This window comes from Homo sapiens, chromosome 7 (genome assembly GCF_000001405.40).
Source record: "Homo sapiens chromosome 7, GRCh38.p14 Primary Assembly".
In the NCBI taxonomy this organism is placed as follows: domain Eukaryota; kingdom Metazoa; phylum Chordata; class Mammalia; order Primates; family Hominidae; genus Homo; species Homo sapiens.
Window position 1 is genome coordinate 21,739,055 of NC_000007.14, and position 18,220 is coordinate 21,757,274.

The 18,220-nt window shown below is 38.8% G+C and overlaps 1 protein-coding gene across 1 annotated transcript in view; it reads left to right on the plus strand.

Moving 5' to 3' along the window:
- The window catches only part of DNAH11 (dynein axonemal heavy chain 11), a 358,801-nt gene that overhangs the window by 196,016 nt on the left and 144,565 nt on the right, over nt 1-18,220 (plus strand). Inside the window, exons 48-54 of the mRNA NM_001277115.2 lie at nt 517-619; nt 2,873-3,112; nt 5,384-5,545; nt 5,816-6,009; nt 9,526-9,688; nt 10,624-10,747; nt 11,168-11,310. Of these exons, the coding sequence (NP_001264044.1) occupies nt 517-619; nt 2,873-3,112; nt 5,384-5,545; nt 5,816-6,009; nt 9,526-9,688; nt 10,624-10,747; nt 11,168-11,310 (1,129 nt within the window). The remainder of the gene's footprint in view (nt 1-516; nt 620-2,872; nt 3,113-5,383; nt 5,546-5,815; nt 6,010-9,525; nt 9,689-10,623; nt 10,748-11,167; nt 11,311-18,220) is intronic.

Consider the following 18,220-nt stretch of genomic DNA (forward strand, 5'->3'; position numbering starts at 1 on the left):
ATTAAGTGTAATAGTTTCCCTTTGTATCTTTGGAAGATTGGATTGAAAAGTGTCTCAGAAATGTTAAGACTGTCCGGAAATCATGTCCTCTTTAAGAATTAACTCACACTTAATTATTTAAGAGAAATTTGATCTTGTTTGGCAGGGTGTAAATGTTTGGGCACTGTAGTCTGCAATCCCTGACAATTAACTACAGGGACAGCCCCCAGCACATCCATGGAGTCTTGCTATGGGTACAAGATAGTTTCTACAGAGTAACATGAGAATCAATAAGCAGTAATAGTTTACATTGACGCAGCTCCAGATCTTGATTTTTGTCATCAAATGAGCTAAGTCAACTTCAGTTTTTTGAGCTTCAGTTTTGATGTCTCTCAAATAAGGCTCACTAGGTCAACCTCACAGAGTGATTATGAAGATAAGGAGGTAATCTGCGATGAAGACCTTTATGAACTGTTAGATTTTGCTCTTTTGTCATCTCCAGTTTTTGGATTTAAGGTTCTGTTTTCTGTCTTTCAGGTATGATAGACAGAAGGTGATGCTTAAAGAAATCCATAACTGCCAGTATGTCGCCTGCATGAATCCGATGGTGGGCAGCTTCACCATCAATCCCAGGCTACAGGTAGGGTGTTGAATACTGCTCTCAAAAACTGTAGGTCTGTATTGTATTGTTTTCGAGTACAGCTTAGGATTCCTATGGGACATCTTGTTAAGCACGTTTCTCATGGCAGCTGTACTATATTTTATTCCCACTAACAACAGACAGGGGTTCTAATAAGCCTTTTTGTTTTAATTGGTAGACTTTATTTTTTATATCAAAGTTTATAGCAAAATCAACTGGCAGTACAAATAATTCCTATGTACTCTCTTAATGCCCCCACTTGTTTTACCCTATTATTAACATCTTGCATTAGTTACAATGATCAGCCAATATTGACACATTATTATTAACTAAAGTTCAGAGTTTACATCGGGATTCCTTCTTTGTATTATACGTTCCAGGGGCTTTTGACAGACATATAATGACAAGTATCAGCTGTTAACAGTATCATATAGAATAGTGTCACTGCCCCAAAATCTCTGTACTCTACCAATTCATTCCTCTCTCTTTTCCCTCTGAGTCCCTGGTAACAATTGATCTTTTGTCTTTTCTTTTCTATTATTATTGTTGTAAAATACATGTTACAAAATTTACCACATTAACCATTTCAAGTGTACAGTTCAGTAATATTAACTACATATGTAATGTTGGGCAGCCAAGATCACCACCCATCTCCATAACTCTTTTCATCTTGTGAAACTGAAACTCCACCCACTGAGCTCCCCTTTTTCTCCTCCCCACTTTCCCCTGGCAACCACCATTCTACTTTCTGTGTCTATGATTTTGACTATTTTAAGTACCTCATATACGTGGAATTATCCAGTATTTGTCTTTTTGTGGCTGGCTTATTTCACTTAGCATAATGTCTAGGGTTCATCCAGTTACGGCATATTGCAGAATTTCTTTCCTATGTAAGACCGAGTCATATTCTAGTACATGTATTTACCACATTTTCCTTAGTTATTCATTCGTTGATGGACACTTGGGTTGCTTCCACACTTTAGCTAATGTGAATAATGCTGCTGCGAACATGGATGAACAAATGTATCTTCAAGACCCTGCTTTTAATTCTTTGGGGTGTACACCCAGCAATACAATTGCTGCATCATATCGGAATTCTACTTTTAATTTTTTGAGGAATCATCATACTGTTTTCCATGACAACTATACCTTATTTTATTCCCTACCAATAGTGCATCAGGGTCCCAGTTTCTCTATATCCTCACACATATTTATTTGCTGTTTTGTTTTGTTTTTTGACAGTAATCATGCTAATGAGTGTGAGGCAGTATCTCATAGTTATGATTTGCATTTTCCTAATGATTAGTGATGTTTTTTATGTGCTTATTGTTCATTTTTGTATCTTCTTCGGAGAAACGTCTATTCAAGTCTTGTGCTTATGTTTAAATTGGGTTATTTTGTTGTCATTGAGTTATAAGAAGCCTCAATGTATTCTGGATATTAATCCCTTAGGCACTGATATTTTCTCTGTTTCTATAAATTTTGCCTTTTCCAGAATTTCATATGATGAGAATCATAGGGTGTGTAGCCTTTCCAAATAGGCTTTTTTTTCCACGTAGCTTAACTATGCATTTAAGATTTCTCCATGTCTTTCCGTGGCTTGATAGTGCGTCTGTTTTTATTGCTGAATAGTGGTCACTGTATGAATGCATCACAGCTTGTTTATCCATTCATCTACTGAAGGACACCTTGGTTGCTTTCACTTTTGACAATTATGAAAGAAGCTGCTATAAACATTTGTTTGCAGGTTTTGTGTTTGCGTAGAAGCTTTTTAATCATGACAACAGCAACAGCTACCCCCAGCATACATTCAGTAGCATACAGTGGTTGCTTACGCATCTGGACTCAGCTGAGACTGAGCTCAGTGACTGCTGATCTTGGCTGGGCTCATCTGTGCATGTTGGGGATAAACTGTCAGTTAATTTGATGTGGCTTTGGCTGGAGTGACTGTGACAACATGACCCTGCTTTATGTGTCCCTCATACTTTAGGGCCTGCAGAGTTTATGGCAAAGTCAGAGGCTTAACAAAGTAAGGAGAAATATACACCTCTGACAACGAGTGGCACACTGTCACTTCCACCTCATTCTGTTGGCTTAAGTAAATCACATGGCCAACCCCAGAGTCAGAGTGGAGCACTAAAAAGCTACATGGTAATGGGCCTGGATACAGGGAGGAGTGAAAAAAAATCAGGTCTTTGCAATTTTCTGGTACAATTGTAATCCTTACACTCTTATATTTGCTTTTCTTTTCAGAGACATTTCACAGTGTTTGCATTCAATTTTCCATCTTTGGATGCACTAAACACCATCTATGGCCAAATCTTTAGCTTCCATTTCCAACAGCAAGCATTTGCTCCATCAATTCTCAGGAGTGGCCCCACTTTGATCCAGGCAACAATAGCATTCCATCAGACAATGATGTGTAACTTTTTACCCACGGCTATTAAATTCCACTACATCTTTAATCTGAGAGATTTATCAAACGTCTTCCAGGTACCTTGACTGCTCTATGTTATGCCTCTTGAGTAGAGAAATAATGATAATACTATGTATTAGCCCATTTTTTATGTCACTATAGAGAAACACCTGAGGCTAGGTAATTTATAAAGAAAAGAGGTTTAATTGGCTTATGGTTCTGCAGGCTGTGCTAGCATGGCCCCAGCATCTGCTTCTGGTGAGGGCCTCAGGAGCTGACAATCGTGGTAGAAGGTGATGGGGAGCCAGCATTTCACATTTTGCATGGCAAGAGCAGGAGCAAGAGAGGGAGTGGAGGCAGGTCCCCAAACTTTTAAACAACCAGATCTTGCATGAACTAACTGAGTGAGAATTCACTTATTACGGAGGGGATGGTGCTAACCATTGATGAAGGATCTGCCCCCATGATCCAGTCACCTCCCACCAGGCCCCACCTCCAACACTGGGAATCGCATTTCAACCTGAGATTTGGAGGGGGCACACATCCAAACCATTACCATACTGTTAACGGTGTTCCTTTATAAAACAGCTTAAAACTATGCTATATACTTTTGTATGTATTCTTTAACTTTACTCATAAACTTCTCAGGAAGTAAGTATGGCAGGTTTATTATTTCCATTTCATCAATGAGAACGGTGCTTCTCCTCAGGTCATATAATGTCTTTGTCTGCGCTTCCGTGACAAAATACCCGAGATTGGGTAATTCATAAATAATAGAATTTTATTTCTCACAGTTCTGGAGGCTGGGAAGTCCATGATTAAGGCACTGGCAGATTCAGTGTCTGGTGAGGGCCTGGTCTCTGCTTCCAAAATGGTGCCTTAAGTGGTGCATCCTCACAGGGCAGAAAGGACAGAGCAAATCGGGCAAATGCCCAGCACCCCTTTCATTAGATCACGTTGCCCTCATGACAGTCACCTCCTAAAGGCCTCACCTCTTAATATTGTTACATGGGCAATTAAGTTTCAAGACATGAATTGTAGGGGCCGTTCAGGCCATGGCATATGGTGACTTGGCAGTGGAAGCAAAGGTAGATGTCTGGGCTCTTTAGATTGAGTGAGTGAGTGCTTACTGTTTTGAGTGCCAAGTAAGAAGGATAAATGATCATGTGTTTGCATAAGGCACTTATGTGTGATTTTAAACATATATGAAGAGAAATAGCAACTTTTAAATAGTTGGATCATTTTGGTTTAATATTGAAAATTACCTTGCTTACCTGGTAAAAGGACAGTGTTTATGTATTTGACTTAGGAAATTCTGAAGGGGAAATTGAAAGTCTGGAATTATTTTTTTAAATCCGACTAATGTGGTCTACCCTGTACAGTAAAAATGGATGGCTGAAATTTCTTTTGTGACAGAGGTGGTATATTGATGAAATACGAAAACTCCATAGGACCTCTTTATATTTTTGTAACCGTCTTTTCAGTATCACTCCACAACTGCCTCAAAACCATAACACAGCATTAGGCAGTAGCTTCTTATGAACACGGAGCAATTCTTTTCGTGTCTGTGTATCTAGCTCCTGCCAGAAAGATTGCTTAATACCGTGCTGTTTAAAAGCAGAATTTTAATCTCAGAAGGAAAGGGAAGAGAGGTCATAGGTGAAATGGGACGAGAGGACTGCCTGCTCACCCTTCATATCCTGCCTGTCAGCTGCACCTGACACTACCAAATAATTTTTTAGCCTTTTGCAGCTCAGTTCTCCACAACTCCCTTACTGTTCTCCTGTGCATCCAGAGTAAGCTGCCTCTCTCCATGAGGAGTGAGTGCGTGTGAATCTAAGATACTGAAAGCACCATGAGTGAGCAAGGGAGTCACAATGTGTTGGTGCTAGACCCACATCTACCCATGAAGTATGAGTCTGGGCACTTTACTCTTGGTCTTGTATTCTTCATCTGTGAAATGATTAGACTGATATCAAGTGATTTTATAGTAAAAAAAATATGATTCTGTGACTTTCATGTTAGCTGTTTGTACTCTGGTTTTGTAAACTTAGTCCATTGTAAGGCTTAATAGGCTCAAGTACTCAGATGTGATATTTAGTGCCTGTGCTGGCACTTGAAATGGTCTTACTCGCATACCTAAAAATGGGTATAAGCATACTAAAATTTTAAAATATTGCACTTATCAAAGAGTAAACCTACTTTTATACACGAACACGCACATTACTATTGATGATATTTCTTTTAACCATTTGCTAAGTTCACATTTTAGTTTAAAAAGTGTTAAACTCATTTGACATGTCATCAGCCTCTGAATTAAAGGTATTTTCCCCATTCTTGCCTTGTAGGGGATTTTATTTGCTTCTCCTGAGTGTTTAAAAGGTCCACTTGATTTAATACATCTGTGGCTTCATGAATCTGCCCGTGTTTATGGAGACAAACTGATAGACAAAAAAGATTGTGATTTGTTTCAGAGAAGAATGCTGGAAACTGCTTATAAATATTTTGAAGTAAGCGTATGAATGTCAGAGGTCACTACTTACTCCAACACCAACTGGGTATTGGGACTAAAGTTAGATGAGGGTATGAGAGAAGTGCACAAGGGCTTACCTTTTTGCAATGGCTGTGAATCCAGAATACACTTGGTCTATGCTTGGGAACATTCCACCCACCTACCCATGTGTGGGTCTGCAAGCTTTTCCCTTGCTAGGCCATGCTGCCTGCAGCTGGACCTCTATGGATGGTTGACATGCCATATTTTTCTCTTTCTCATCCTGCAGGGTATAGATAGTCACATGCTGCTTCAACAGCCCCTCATTTATTGCCACTTTGCTGATAGAGGGAAGGACCCACATTACATGCCAGTGAAGGACTGGGAAGTGCTGAAGACGATTCTTACAGAAACGTTAGACAACTACAATGAACTAAATGCTGCCATGCACCTAGTTTTGTTTGAAGATGCCATGCAACATGTGTGAGTTAACTAGTCACGATGCTTTTCCACAAAAGGAAGAATGGCTGGATATCCACTACTGTCATTTTTCAATAGATCATACTAAGCACTCTGAACCATCAGTTCTTATCTGCTGTTTGACATATAATTTTAAAATATAAAAGGGTCGCTTTTTAATGTCACAATCTTAATAATGTCTTACATAGGCACACTGTTTTCCGAGATGCCATCATATCCATTATTTTACTTGAATATTAAGAAAGTGGAAACATAAATTACTTGTTCAAAGTCACATAGTTCATAAGGGACAAAGGACTAATTTTCATTGATTAAGCAGGTTTTGTTGAGTGCCAGATAGGAACATTGCCAGCCTTTCAGCAATTTTGTGCAAATTCTTTAAAATGGGGGAGGGCTCATGCTTTCTTGGCAGAAAATTAGAAAAAGGCATCTGTCCTTGGATAGAGCATGGCTGACAAGGTTCTCGCTCACCTCCTAGACCTGGTACCTCATGTAGTGCACAGACTGTGCAACCATCTGCAGCCCTCCTATGGGACATTGTTCTAGGTGCTGAGATACAGCAGCAGTGAACACAATCCAGTCCCCTCTGTAGTTGAGCTTACATGTTAGCGACGAAAATGGACATTTATAAGGACATGAACAACTAAACAAGAGAATAAGCAAGAAAAATATCAGAAAGTGATGTGTCATGCCAAGAAGGAAAATAGGTTGATTCTGTGAGAAATACAATAAGTGAATTTCCAAAGAGGGACTGGGCATCCCTGTGAAGAGGTGACATTTAAAGCGAGACCTGAATGATAAGTAGGTGCTAAGCATGGAAAGATCTGGAGGAAGAACATTCTAGACAGAGAGCAGATTGCATCTGACCCTAAGGCAAGAATGTTTGAGATACAGAAAAGAAGATCAGTTAGGCTGCAGCATAGAGAAAAATATAACAAAAATGGAGAGGCAGGAACTGGCCTTACCAATACGAAGTATTTCCTTGTAACCAGAATAAGGAACTTTGATTTTATTCTAAGTGCAGTGAGAAGTGGTTGGATGGGTTTTACCCTGGGGATGACACAGTTCATTGTGTCTGGGCTAAACAGCTTAACATTGCCACTGCTGTGTAGAAAGTTGATCACATGTTTACATCCGATACTGCTCTCCTAGTCCAAGTCACCTTCATCTGTCATTGACACCAGCAGGAAGACTTCAATAAGTGACAACAGCCAAAGACTTAAACAGAAAAAGAAAAAAGAAATCATTGAAAACAAGAAGAGGCTGAGTGTGGTGGCTCACACCTGTAATCCCAGCACTTTGGGAGGCTGAGGCAGGAGGATCACTTGAGGCCAGAAGTTTGAGACCTGTCTGGGTGACATAGTGGGACCCCATCTCTACAATTTTTTTTTAATGAGCTGGGTGTGGTGGTATGTGCCTGTAGTCTCAGCCACACAGAAGGCTGAGGAGGGAGGACTGCTAGAGCCCAGGAGTTCGAGGTTGCAGTGGGCTAGGATTATGCCACTGCACTCTAGCCTAAGCAACAGAGTGAGACCCTGTCTCTCAAAAATAAAAGACAAGAAGAAGGAAAAATCCAGAGAAAATAAGATGTGGAGAATTCAGTTTTTAGAAGAATTAATCTTTAAAATTTTCTTAGGCCCTAGAACCTACAAAAATTGTAGAGCCCTTCCTGTCACCACAACTAACTGTTGGTAGTTTTATTGATCCCTTTGCAGTTGTGATCCTTCCTCTGATTGTGCAAAGGAAGTTTCAGTTGGAATCTAAAACCATGGTGTTAAATCAACTATTAGTAATGCTGTCTCGGGTTGGGTTAATATACAGTCATTGTGTATGGGCGTCCTGGCTGAGGTGAAACAGAAACCTCCCATTGATACTGAGGAAAAGAGTTTTCCCATATAATCCCTCAATACAGAATTTTCAGTGGCCTAAAAGGTAAGGCTGTTTCTTTGATCAGGGATTATGAGCTAGAAGCTGATTTACTCAGCATTAGAGGTGATTTCAGAGCGTGTCCTTGAGTGTTATAGAAAGGGACTTTGCCACTTAGTGAATCTTGTGAGGTTAAAAGCCTCAAAGCATACATTAAAATGAAATGAAAACCCTGTTTTATAGCTTGGGGTATCTCTCATGTCAGAGTAATTTTATAGCTTTCCCCAAGGTTGTTTTGTTGTGTGGTCATGTGAAGTAAAATTTAATGTGATGACTGAGCTTGTAAAAATAACCTATCTTCTCTGTTACTGGAGGTTTTCAGAAAATGTTCACATGTGCTGGTCCTAATATAAGTGATCCCAACTTAGTTTTTTCAAAAAGCACTATTTAAAACAATTTATGCAGTTTGTTCAGGTTCTGAAGTTTAAGTTCATTTCAGAAAAGCACCCTAGAGCAAAATGATGGCATCAAATTTGGGGTGTTTTACTATCTACATGCCTATATTTTGTTTTGTTGGTTTTCTTAATATTTATAACATAATTATGAACTATTTCTTCAAACCCATCTTTTGCTAAAGTTAAAGCGAGTTTATTTATAGCTGTAAAATATAGCATAATATAAATAGATTAAGCATTCAGAATGCCTTGGATATTATAGAACAAGGGATTAGTTGGCCTTGGTGGAAATTTAACTTTGTGTTACTGAATGGCTTCAGCAAATTATTCTACAATGGTGTAGTTACAAGGGAAGGCTTTAGTGTGAAGGAAGCAAGAATCACATTAAGAAACAAGTGCTTGATTTGCTGAGTAAATCACACAGAGAGATCTGTTGGTCTAAACAAATCCATTCTTTCCAAAATAATTCTACAGCAAAGATTTCTGGCACAAGGCTATTCCCCCTTTGATGTCCTCATACTTGGGTGCTGATGTGGAATTCGGATCTTTCTTGCTAATCAAAATATTTTGAAGCCCTTAACACAAGGCCTTTGCATATATTTTCTTTTTGGACTTTTGGTGGTGACAACAAAGCTCTAAGAGAATCCAAAGTGTTATTAGCAGAGGATGATTTGTCTTGGGAGCAGTTCAAGGGTTAGGGTGAAGGTAGCGTCTTTGTTTGATGGGGAAACAAATGAACAAGGACTAGAGGTTTCCAGTAAAAACTGGAATTTAGTCTCTCACTATACTATTTATCTAAAGAATAAACAAAACAGACCCAGGCCAGGCGCAGTTGCTCATGCCTGTAATCCCAGCACTTTGGGAGGCCAAGGCGGGTGGATCACTTGAGATCAGGAGTTCAAGACCAGCCTGGCCAACATAGTGAAACCCCGTCTCTACTAAAAATACAAAAATCAGCTGGGCATGGTGGTGAGTGCCCGTAATCCAACTACTTGGGAGGTTGAGGCAGGAGAATCACTTGAATCTGAATCCGGGAGGCGGAGGCTGCAATGAGCCAAGATCGCGCCACTGCACTCCGGCCTGGGCAACAGAGCAAGTCTCCATCTCAAAAGCAAATAAATAAATAAAAATAAACAGAACAGACATAGTCCCGGGGCATTTTCGATTTTGTGCCATAATGGGCGCTTCCTTTCCTCAGGTGTCGCATCAGCCGGATCTTACGAACCCCTCAGGGCTGTGCTCTCTTGGTTGGAGTTGGGGGCAGTGGCAAGCAGAGCTTGTCCAGGCTGGCAGCTTACCTTCGTGGCCTTGAGGTCTTTCAGATCACTCTGACCGAGGGCTATGGAATCCAGGAACTTCGGGTGAGTCAAGGGGACAGGCAGTTCTTCTGACCCTTCTGCTTGGCAGATAAAGCCGAGGCTCCTAGTGCGCCCGTGTGGGCTGTGACTCCCAGATTTGGCCAAGGCCTCCCCAACCACGGGAGAGCGGGAGCTCTTTAAAGCAGTAATTGACCTTTGGCGGTTTTGCCTTTATGGTCAAATTAGTAATAATAAATTTCTACAAGTTTTGTGTAGGTTTAATAACATGTAAACCTGGCTCAGAAAATATTTACTTAAACACTTGCTTACACAAATGTCTTTCTGTTTTCTATTAATCAAACCTGATGCGTATTGCTGTTAGTGTTCCTGTATGATAGGTTGGGGAAAAAAGACACTAACTTCACAAGTAAAAATAGATTTCTTCCACATTGGATAAGAACAGGAGAAGAAGATGCAAGAGGAATAACACGTTTAGGAAACTCTCGTGTGTTTTTCAAGCTTTGCTTTTTAATAACAATAGTACTTACAAAATAGTACCTACAATTTGTGCCAAGTGATATTTTAAGTTTTAAAAAATCACATATTTTTAATATTACTAATGAAATAAACCCGTTTTCGAAAAAATAGGACAGTTGTTAAAATGAGCAGGCTTCTTTTTACGGCCCTGCCTGAAAAAGGCGTCGCTGAATTCACTTGTACACAGTGAGAAGGGAGTTGGTGATCTGTAGCCTGTTTTCATCCCTCTGCTCCAGTAAGCCAGAAACACGACACTCAACCTTACGAGTCAGCAATGGAGGTGGTGTCACAGTGCTGTCCCCTAGAATGGGGTCTCTCAGAGAAGGAATATGTAAACCAGGGAAAGGCACCCCACAGTGCTATGGCGATACAGTTACTGAGTTCTCCCCAGCACTCACACACAACCTCTCAACGCCGCATCAGCATTTTAACAAAACATGAGTGATGGCCTTTCCTTACAGGTAGATCTTGCCAATTTGTACATCCGAACTGGAGCCAAGAACATGCCCACTGTGTTCCTGCTGACAGATGCCCAGGTTCTAGATGAGAGCTTCCTCGTGCTGATTAATGACTTGCTGGCATCAGGTGATTAAACCAACACATTTCTTGAAAGATCTTCCCCAATGACAAATTATCTGTAGTTTCAGTGAACTTTAAAGAGAGAGAATTCGTCTTTGAGATGTTTGCTGGGCAGTCTTTGGGGAGAAACCTATAAACCTAACTAATTTGAGGTGTATTGCTTTCTTAGTCTGTTTATGGATGAGAAGGCCTTCAGTGAAGTAAATGTTATTCTTACACGTACGGGTGTAGAGGGTGTGTTCACCATGGCTCGTCTTCAACGTGTTGTATGTCTCGTAAATAAAAAAGAAACATGACGTTTCTGATTTTAAACTCTTACCATTTATGCTGAACTTTGTCTTGTAAAACATTTCAAACGTTTAAAAGTTATATGTAAAATTTAAATTGCAATGATCTTTTAGTAATTCTACTCATTCTTTGGGGCAGGAGAAATCCCAGATCTGTTCAGCGATGAAGATGTGGACAAGATAATTTCTGGAATTCATAATGAAGTTCATGCTCTGGGCATGGTAGACTCCAGGGAAAACTGTTGGAAATTCTTTATGGCCAGGGTGCGACTACAGCTCAAAGTAAGAAATACTTGCTTAATTTGCATGTTAGTTAAAACCTGCTATTGCAACTCTCTGGTTCTATTCTGAGTTTTTTATTATGAGTTTGAATTTCAGTCATGCATTTTGAAAGGACGTGTGCATTTTTACACGCCTGTATCTGGAGCGTACCTTCCTAAAGTGTCCCATGATGCTGGGCTCCTGCAAAGCATTGCTGAGCGGTGTGTGCAGTCCTCAGCTGAAGTGCATGTGGTCTGTGCCATTGAGGAACTTACACTATTGTAGAACACAGGAGACATCACAAATAATTATCATACAGTATAAATATAAACAGTGCTGTGGGATTGCAGAGGAGCGCAGCATCCTTCCTCACTGGAGCTGGTCATCCTGGAGGAAATGATGGGCCACGTGTTTAGCATGGAGAAGAATTCAAGGGGAGGAACTTTCAGGGACGGGAAATGGCATTTATATAAAGGTCAACTGCACGGTACGGATTTGCAGAAACCCAGATTACCTCTAAAGGCCTGGAACATAGAGTTCTTATAGGGAGAGTGAGATCAGTAAATCTGGAAAAGTAAATTGGAAGAGATAAGAGGTTTCTAAATCATGAAGTGAGTAGTGAGGAGAGTTTTGAATTAAGAAAGTGATGATGATGTCAGTGACTTCAGGGAAAGGAATTTAGAAGTAACACTCAGATGGGCCGGGTGCAGTGGCTCACACCTGTAATCCCAGCACTTTAGGAAGCCATGGTGGGTGGATCACCTGAGGTCAGGAGTTCAAGACCAACCTGGCCAACATGATGAAACCCCATCTCTACTAAAAACACAAAAATTAGCCAGGCTTGGTGGCATGTGCCTGTAATCCCAGCTACTTGGGTGGCTGAGGCAGGAGAATCACTTGAACCCAGGAGGCAGAGGTTGCAGTGAGCCAAGATCGCGCCATTGTACTCCAGCCTGGGTGACAGAGTGACACTCTGTCTCAAAAAACAAAAGAAGTAATGCTCAGATGTTCTGAAGGATTACCCCAGTGTTCTTCCTCATTGGCTGCTCTGTGCTATAGTGTATCACATAGGCAGATAATATAACCAGATAATAGATCAGTAAAGGTCAAGTATCACAAGAAAACAGGGAGAGCCTCCAAACTCATCAGGAAGCCAATTTAAGAATGCTGCTAGGGAAAATTCAGGCTTTCTAGTATGGAAACTAGGAAAGCTGCTACTTTACTGTTGCTTCTCATATTGTTATGCCTGTCAAGTTAGTGGCAGGCTGCGGCGGCTATAGAGCTGGAGTATTTAAGGATAGGAGACGGGTACTGGCATTGGCCCTGAATATGCCTTAGATTGGAGGTTAAGGAGCAGAGTCATTAAGTTTCTCCAACATTCTGCTATTTCAAGTTTCACGTTAATCTTACTGAGCAATTCTAGGTTAGAAGGTTAGAACTTAAGATTCAGTTGCCCAAAGAGCTTTTTCTCCATCAAAAATAGGACTAAGAATACATTTGTCAGGTAGTAACAAGGCCAGGGATTTCTTCCTGTTCCATGGTGATATACTAGGATCAAATTTTCTTTATAGAATGGGAAAACAAGTACAGTGTTAGAATTTGAGGTAGTAATAGTATAAATCAATGATTATCGTAATCTGTTGCTCAGAGCTGCAGAATCAACATCAACAAGCAACTTTTTAAAAATGCATTTTCTCCAACTCCAAGCCAGACCTCCTGAAGCAGAAACTTTGGGTGGCCCCAGAAATCTGTCTTAACAAGGCCTCCAAGTGATTCAGAGGCATGATGAAATTTAAGAGCCATTGTTATAAATAGTGCTAGAATGAGCATTGTTTGTGTATATCTTTCATGCTCAACTTTGCTTGCTTCTACAGGATAAATTCCTAGAATGGATATTGCTAGATTCAGTAGTTACAGCTTGTGGTAGTTTTAAAACATGCCTTCAAATTTTTAGATGCTCTTCTTACTTACAGGTGACATCTAGATCCCCTCTTCTTGAATTTGGGTGGGTAGCTTGTGACTGCTTCAGCTAATATCCAGTATGGCAGAGGTGATGCTGAGCAACAACTAAGGCTGAGTCATAAAGGGCTCACTTTTCTATTGGATTGTACATATTTTTGTAAGAGTTCTATGTATTTAGGCAATTATTCTTATATATGTGTCTCATGTATATTTTTCCTATTCTTTTGTTTGTCTTTTAAATGTACTTATGGCACATGTTTGTTTATAGGTCTGTAACTTTCCAATTTTTTAAAGGTTTACATGTTAATCAGTGTTTTCCTTAATGGATCCTCAGATCCATTTCTTGTAAATTTAGAAAAGTATTTTACTCTTCAAGATAATCTTTTTTATTTTTTATTTTTATTTATTTACTTATTTATCTTTTGAGACAGAGTTTCACTCTTGTTGCCCAGGCTGGAATGCAATGGCATGATCTGAGCTCACTGCAGCCTCTGCCTCCTGGGTTCAAGCAATTCTTCTGCCTCAGCCTCCTGAGTAGCTGGGATTACGGGTGCCTGCCACCACACTTGGCTAATTTTTTGTATTTTTAGTAGAGACGGGGTTTCACCATGTTGGCCAGGCTGGTCTTGAACTCGTGGCCTCATGTCCACCCGCCTTGGCCTCCTAAAGTGCTGGGATTACAGGCATGAGCAAGATAATCTTTACTAGAAGCAGTCGGAACTCAAATTGAGCTACAGTAAGAGAAAACTCAACAGTTTCTTAAAGCCTCTCACAATAGCAAGTCCAGACTGGCTCAGTATTACCCTTAGAGGCCCTTTAGAAGAGATGCTTGTCTCATCTTTCCCTTCTGCCTGCTTTCATCGTGATGCCTCTTGCCTCCTGATCACAGGTGGGTGCAGTATGTTCATGTTCCAGGCAGGGGGAAGGAAGGGGAAGAGGACCTGGAGACTCTGTACCAGGAAACCTAAGCTCCTCCCCCAAACCCTAAGCTCATGTCTTACTGGCCGCAAATGCTTCCCATGCTGCCTCCGGCTACTAAGGAGTCTGAGGGAGTAAATATTTAATTTGGGGACATTGCCTTTATGAGTACAATTTGAAATGGATTTTGGAATAGTTTTAAAAAGGAGCAGTATCAGTCATTCCAGTGCCTATGTGCTTTCATGCTCTTTAAAACTTTTCTACCTCTGAAATACATTTTTTATTAAATACGGTAAAGTGTGAGCTGAGAGGTTTCAGGTTATTTTTCCCAAAAAGATGTCTTCTTGTCTAAACAACATGTATTTCTTCCTTATCAGCTTCAAATACCATCTTTAGTGTATGTCCAATAGCCATATTAATTGTGTCTGTTTCTAAATTCTCTGTTCTCTTTTCTTGTTAACTGTCTGCTACTGATTTCAGCATTGCACTATAAATTAGTAAAGCTTTATCATTTATTTTCATTTCCAATTGCTCTTTCTTGTTAAGCTTTTTCTACTTATTCTCCTGTGTTTATATGTTTGGATAAGGATTAGCATCATTTTGTCAAATTCTAAACACACTCCATGTCAATTTTGATCGAAATCATGCTGAATGCTTATTTTATATTAGAATTTAATCTTCAGGGTACAATGTCTTTTATTGCTTTTATAGAAGGATTTCGTAAAGTTTTGTAACGGTGTATTATTTGTATATAGGAGAGCTGTTGATTTTTAACTTTATAAACAGCTACCTTACTGTCTCTCTTATAGTTTATAATAGTTGGTTGATATCATATAGCCTGCAGGTAAAGATATTTTGTCTCTCCTGTTATTCTGTTTTTCTGTTCTCCTCCCTCATTGCATTGGTAAATATTACAGAACATTAAATAATTTTGATAATAGTAGGAATTCTGTCTTGATTCTTACTTTAATGGGGATGTGTCTAATGTTTCACTGTTAGGTCTTATGTTGGCTTTTGATTCAGAATATGTATCTTGTCAAAGAAGTATCTACCTAGTAAATTCATTTTCAGGATCTATTGAGATATGTATATGTTTTTCTCCCTTGGACTTACTAATATTCATATAATACAGAATGATATACAGAAGTTTTACATTTTTATATTTTTATATCCATCAGCCTTTTTCTTTGTTTCCTTTGGGTCTGTGTGTAGGCAGACCTTACTGAAACTGAGATCAGTTTTATATTCATCTCTATTGTTGTCTAATCCTTTTTATGGTCTCATTTTTTATTTAACTCAATACAAGATGGAATTTATTTTTGAGTTAGATGTGGATAATTTCCCCCCCCACCCCATCATCACAGGACTATTAATTGAATGACCTGTCTCTTCCCTACTAAAATGAGTAGGAAGTTGGTTTTTTTTGTTTTTGTTTTGTGCTGTTTTGTTTTTAACATCAAGTAGAAATAGGATATCTCTGTCAGAAGGGATCCCACTTCTGATCCCCTTTGGCCTTGTCACTCAGTTTGATCCACCCTGTGGAAGGCTAATGGTCAGCACCATGACCTCTTTACCTTGAGGGAGAAATATTACGGTAAAAAATGGGCAGTCTTTTAGCCTGAAAATACCAGCTTCTTTCTTTTAATTTATGTATGTTACCCCCACATCCTTGGAATTTTAAAGAATTCCAAATTGCTCTATGTTATTTTCAGATATCATGATATTCACCAGTGTGTACTAAAGACTCAGAATTTCTGATGAGCTGATATCTCCTTTGCATAAGTTCCAAACCAGGCATCATGGAAAGCTTAATGTGTTACAGGGGGTTGGTGAACACACCTGGCAGGTCGAGCTAAATGATGTGAAGTTGCCACCCCATTACCCATGCTCACCGCCCAAAGTCAGTTCCCACTTGGAATGCAGAGACAATGAGAACCTGTTGGCATGCAAAATGTGACCTCTGAATGCCAGAGGGCAGTTCCCATTAACAACCATCAGATGTGTGTCCTTGGATTGCCTCAAATAAGGCAATGAATAGCAATGCCAAATGCCTTCTCTCCTTCACATTTGTCTATATGCATCTTTTCCCACACAGTTCTCATCTTGCAGCTCGAATATAGAACTTTCATCTCCTCTCCAGTGGACCTTAGTTCACCCAATAATTTTTCTTTCTTACTTTCCTTCCTGGCCATATGATGCTGTAGGGCAAAGGACACTTGATTTATGTAGCAGCCCCTGATTCCATCCCAAGATTTTAGATATTTGCCTCATTATCTTTCTAAGTATATATATATATAGTTATCCATTTCTGATAATTTAAAAAATATGTGTTCATTGGAGAGAATTTAAAAATACAAAACAATGTAAAAAATATTTTTAAATTACCCTTAATAATATTGTCTGGAGATAACATATTGGTATGTTTCCTCTCAGTCTTCTATGTGCACATAAACATGAAGTATATATTCAGAACTAAAAAATTTCTATTTACCTCTCACGCAGTCTTCTTTAATTACCTTCCCATTTGTCTTTCTGATTAGAAGGCTCCCATAGGAGGTAAAAATCAAATGATCAAGAATTTGGTGTATGGAATGAACTATTTAATTGAAATATACTTTATTCTAAATAACTATTTGTAGAAAATGTCCTTTATCCACTTATAGCTTTTTCCAAATTTCCTGTTGGTTTGCTGTAACTTCTTATTGTTGGTTATAGGAGCACTTTATATAATCGATGTTATTTATATGTCCAGAATGTTCTGGTTTTAGGTGTTTCCAGTTTTAATTTATCATAATTCTGCTAACTTTATGATGACCTCCTGTTTTACATTCATATTTATTAAAAATGTTAAATTTTTATTTTATGGCTTTCATGTGTTAAGGCTTTTTTAGGAAGCAATTTTTGCACTCCATGGTTATAAAAACTATTATTCTGAATTTTCTTTAAATTAATTTATAATATTTTTAATGTTCAGCCATACAGTTTTGTGTAAATTATAAGATGGCTTTCCTACTGTTCCACCCCTGAATACCCTCAACACCGTTTATTATATAATCTCTCTTTTATCACTGATTTGAAATGATGTTTATCTCATATATTAAATGCCTAAATATATAAGATTCTATTTGGGGCTGTCTGTTATGTCCCATTAATTTGTTCCTGCATAATTGCCACACTGCATAATAAACACAGATAATTGGTGTGTTTATTATAGCCCTATAGTATATTCTGGAATCTAGTAGAGCAAGATCACCTTCCTTTTCTACATTTACTTAGTTATTTGCACCTTTAATTTCCTGGATTAACTATGAAATCAGTTTGATGACTTTTTAAAAAATTCAATGAAAATTGAATTTAGGGGATAATGGATATAATTACAATATTGAGTATTTTTGTTCATTCACCTACACTGTTTTCCTTGTTATAATTTAAGGTTTTTTCTTGATAGTGTGAGTTCTTTCCCAAAACAAAGGATATTTTTCCAGATATCCTTTGATTTTCTTACTCGTTTTTATTCTGGCTGAACTTTAAAATCACTTTGCTAAATTCTGCTAATCCTGTTGGGAATTATTAGAATCGCCTAAAATTTGTTAATGAATGTGGGAAGAATTAGCATCTTTATAATAATTGACCTCTTCCGGGAATGTGGCACGTGTCTTCCTTTAGTCAAAGTGTCTTTAACTGAGCTTTGAAAAAGCAGTTAATTATCTTCAATTCATTTTACACATTTCTCATTAAGTTCTTTTCTCAATATTTTACAGCATTTTCCACTCCTGCCAAATTTCTAACTGATCATTGTGGACATAAAAGAAAGCCATTGGATGGAGGGAAGGAGGAATGGATGGATATTTAGTTATGTATTTTACCAACCAATTCAGTGCACACATTAATTCCACTAGCTTCTGCATTTTGTTCTTTAGAGTTTGCTGCGTAGACAGATCATCTTTTGATTTTTAATCCTTTATAATAATCACCACTTTCCTACATCTTGGGACAGCCATACTTTCTGAACAACATTTAAAACTTTTAAGTAACTATAGTGATCCTCTTT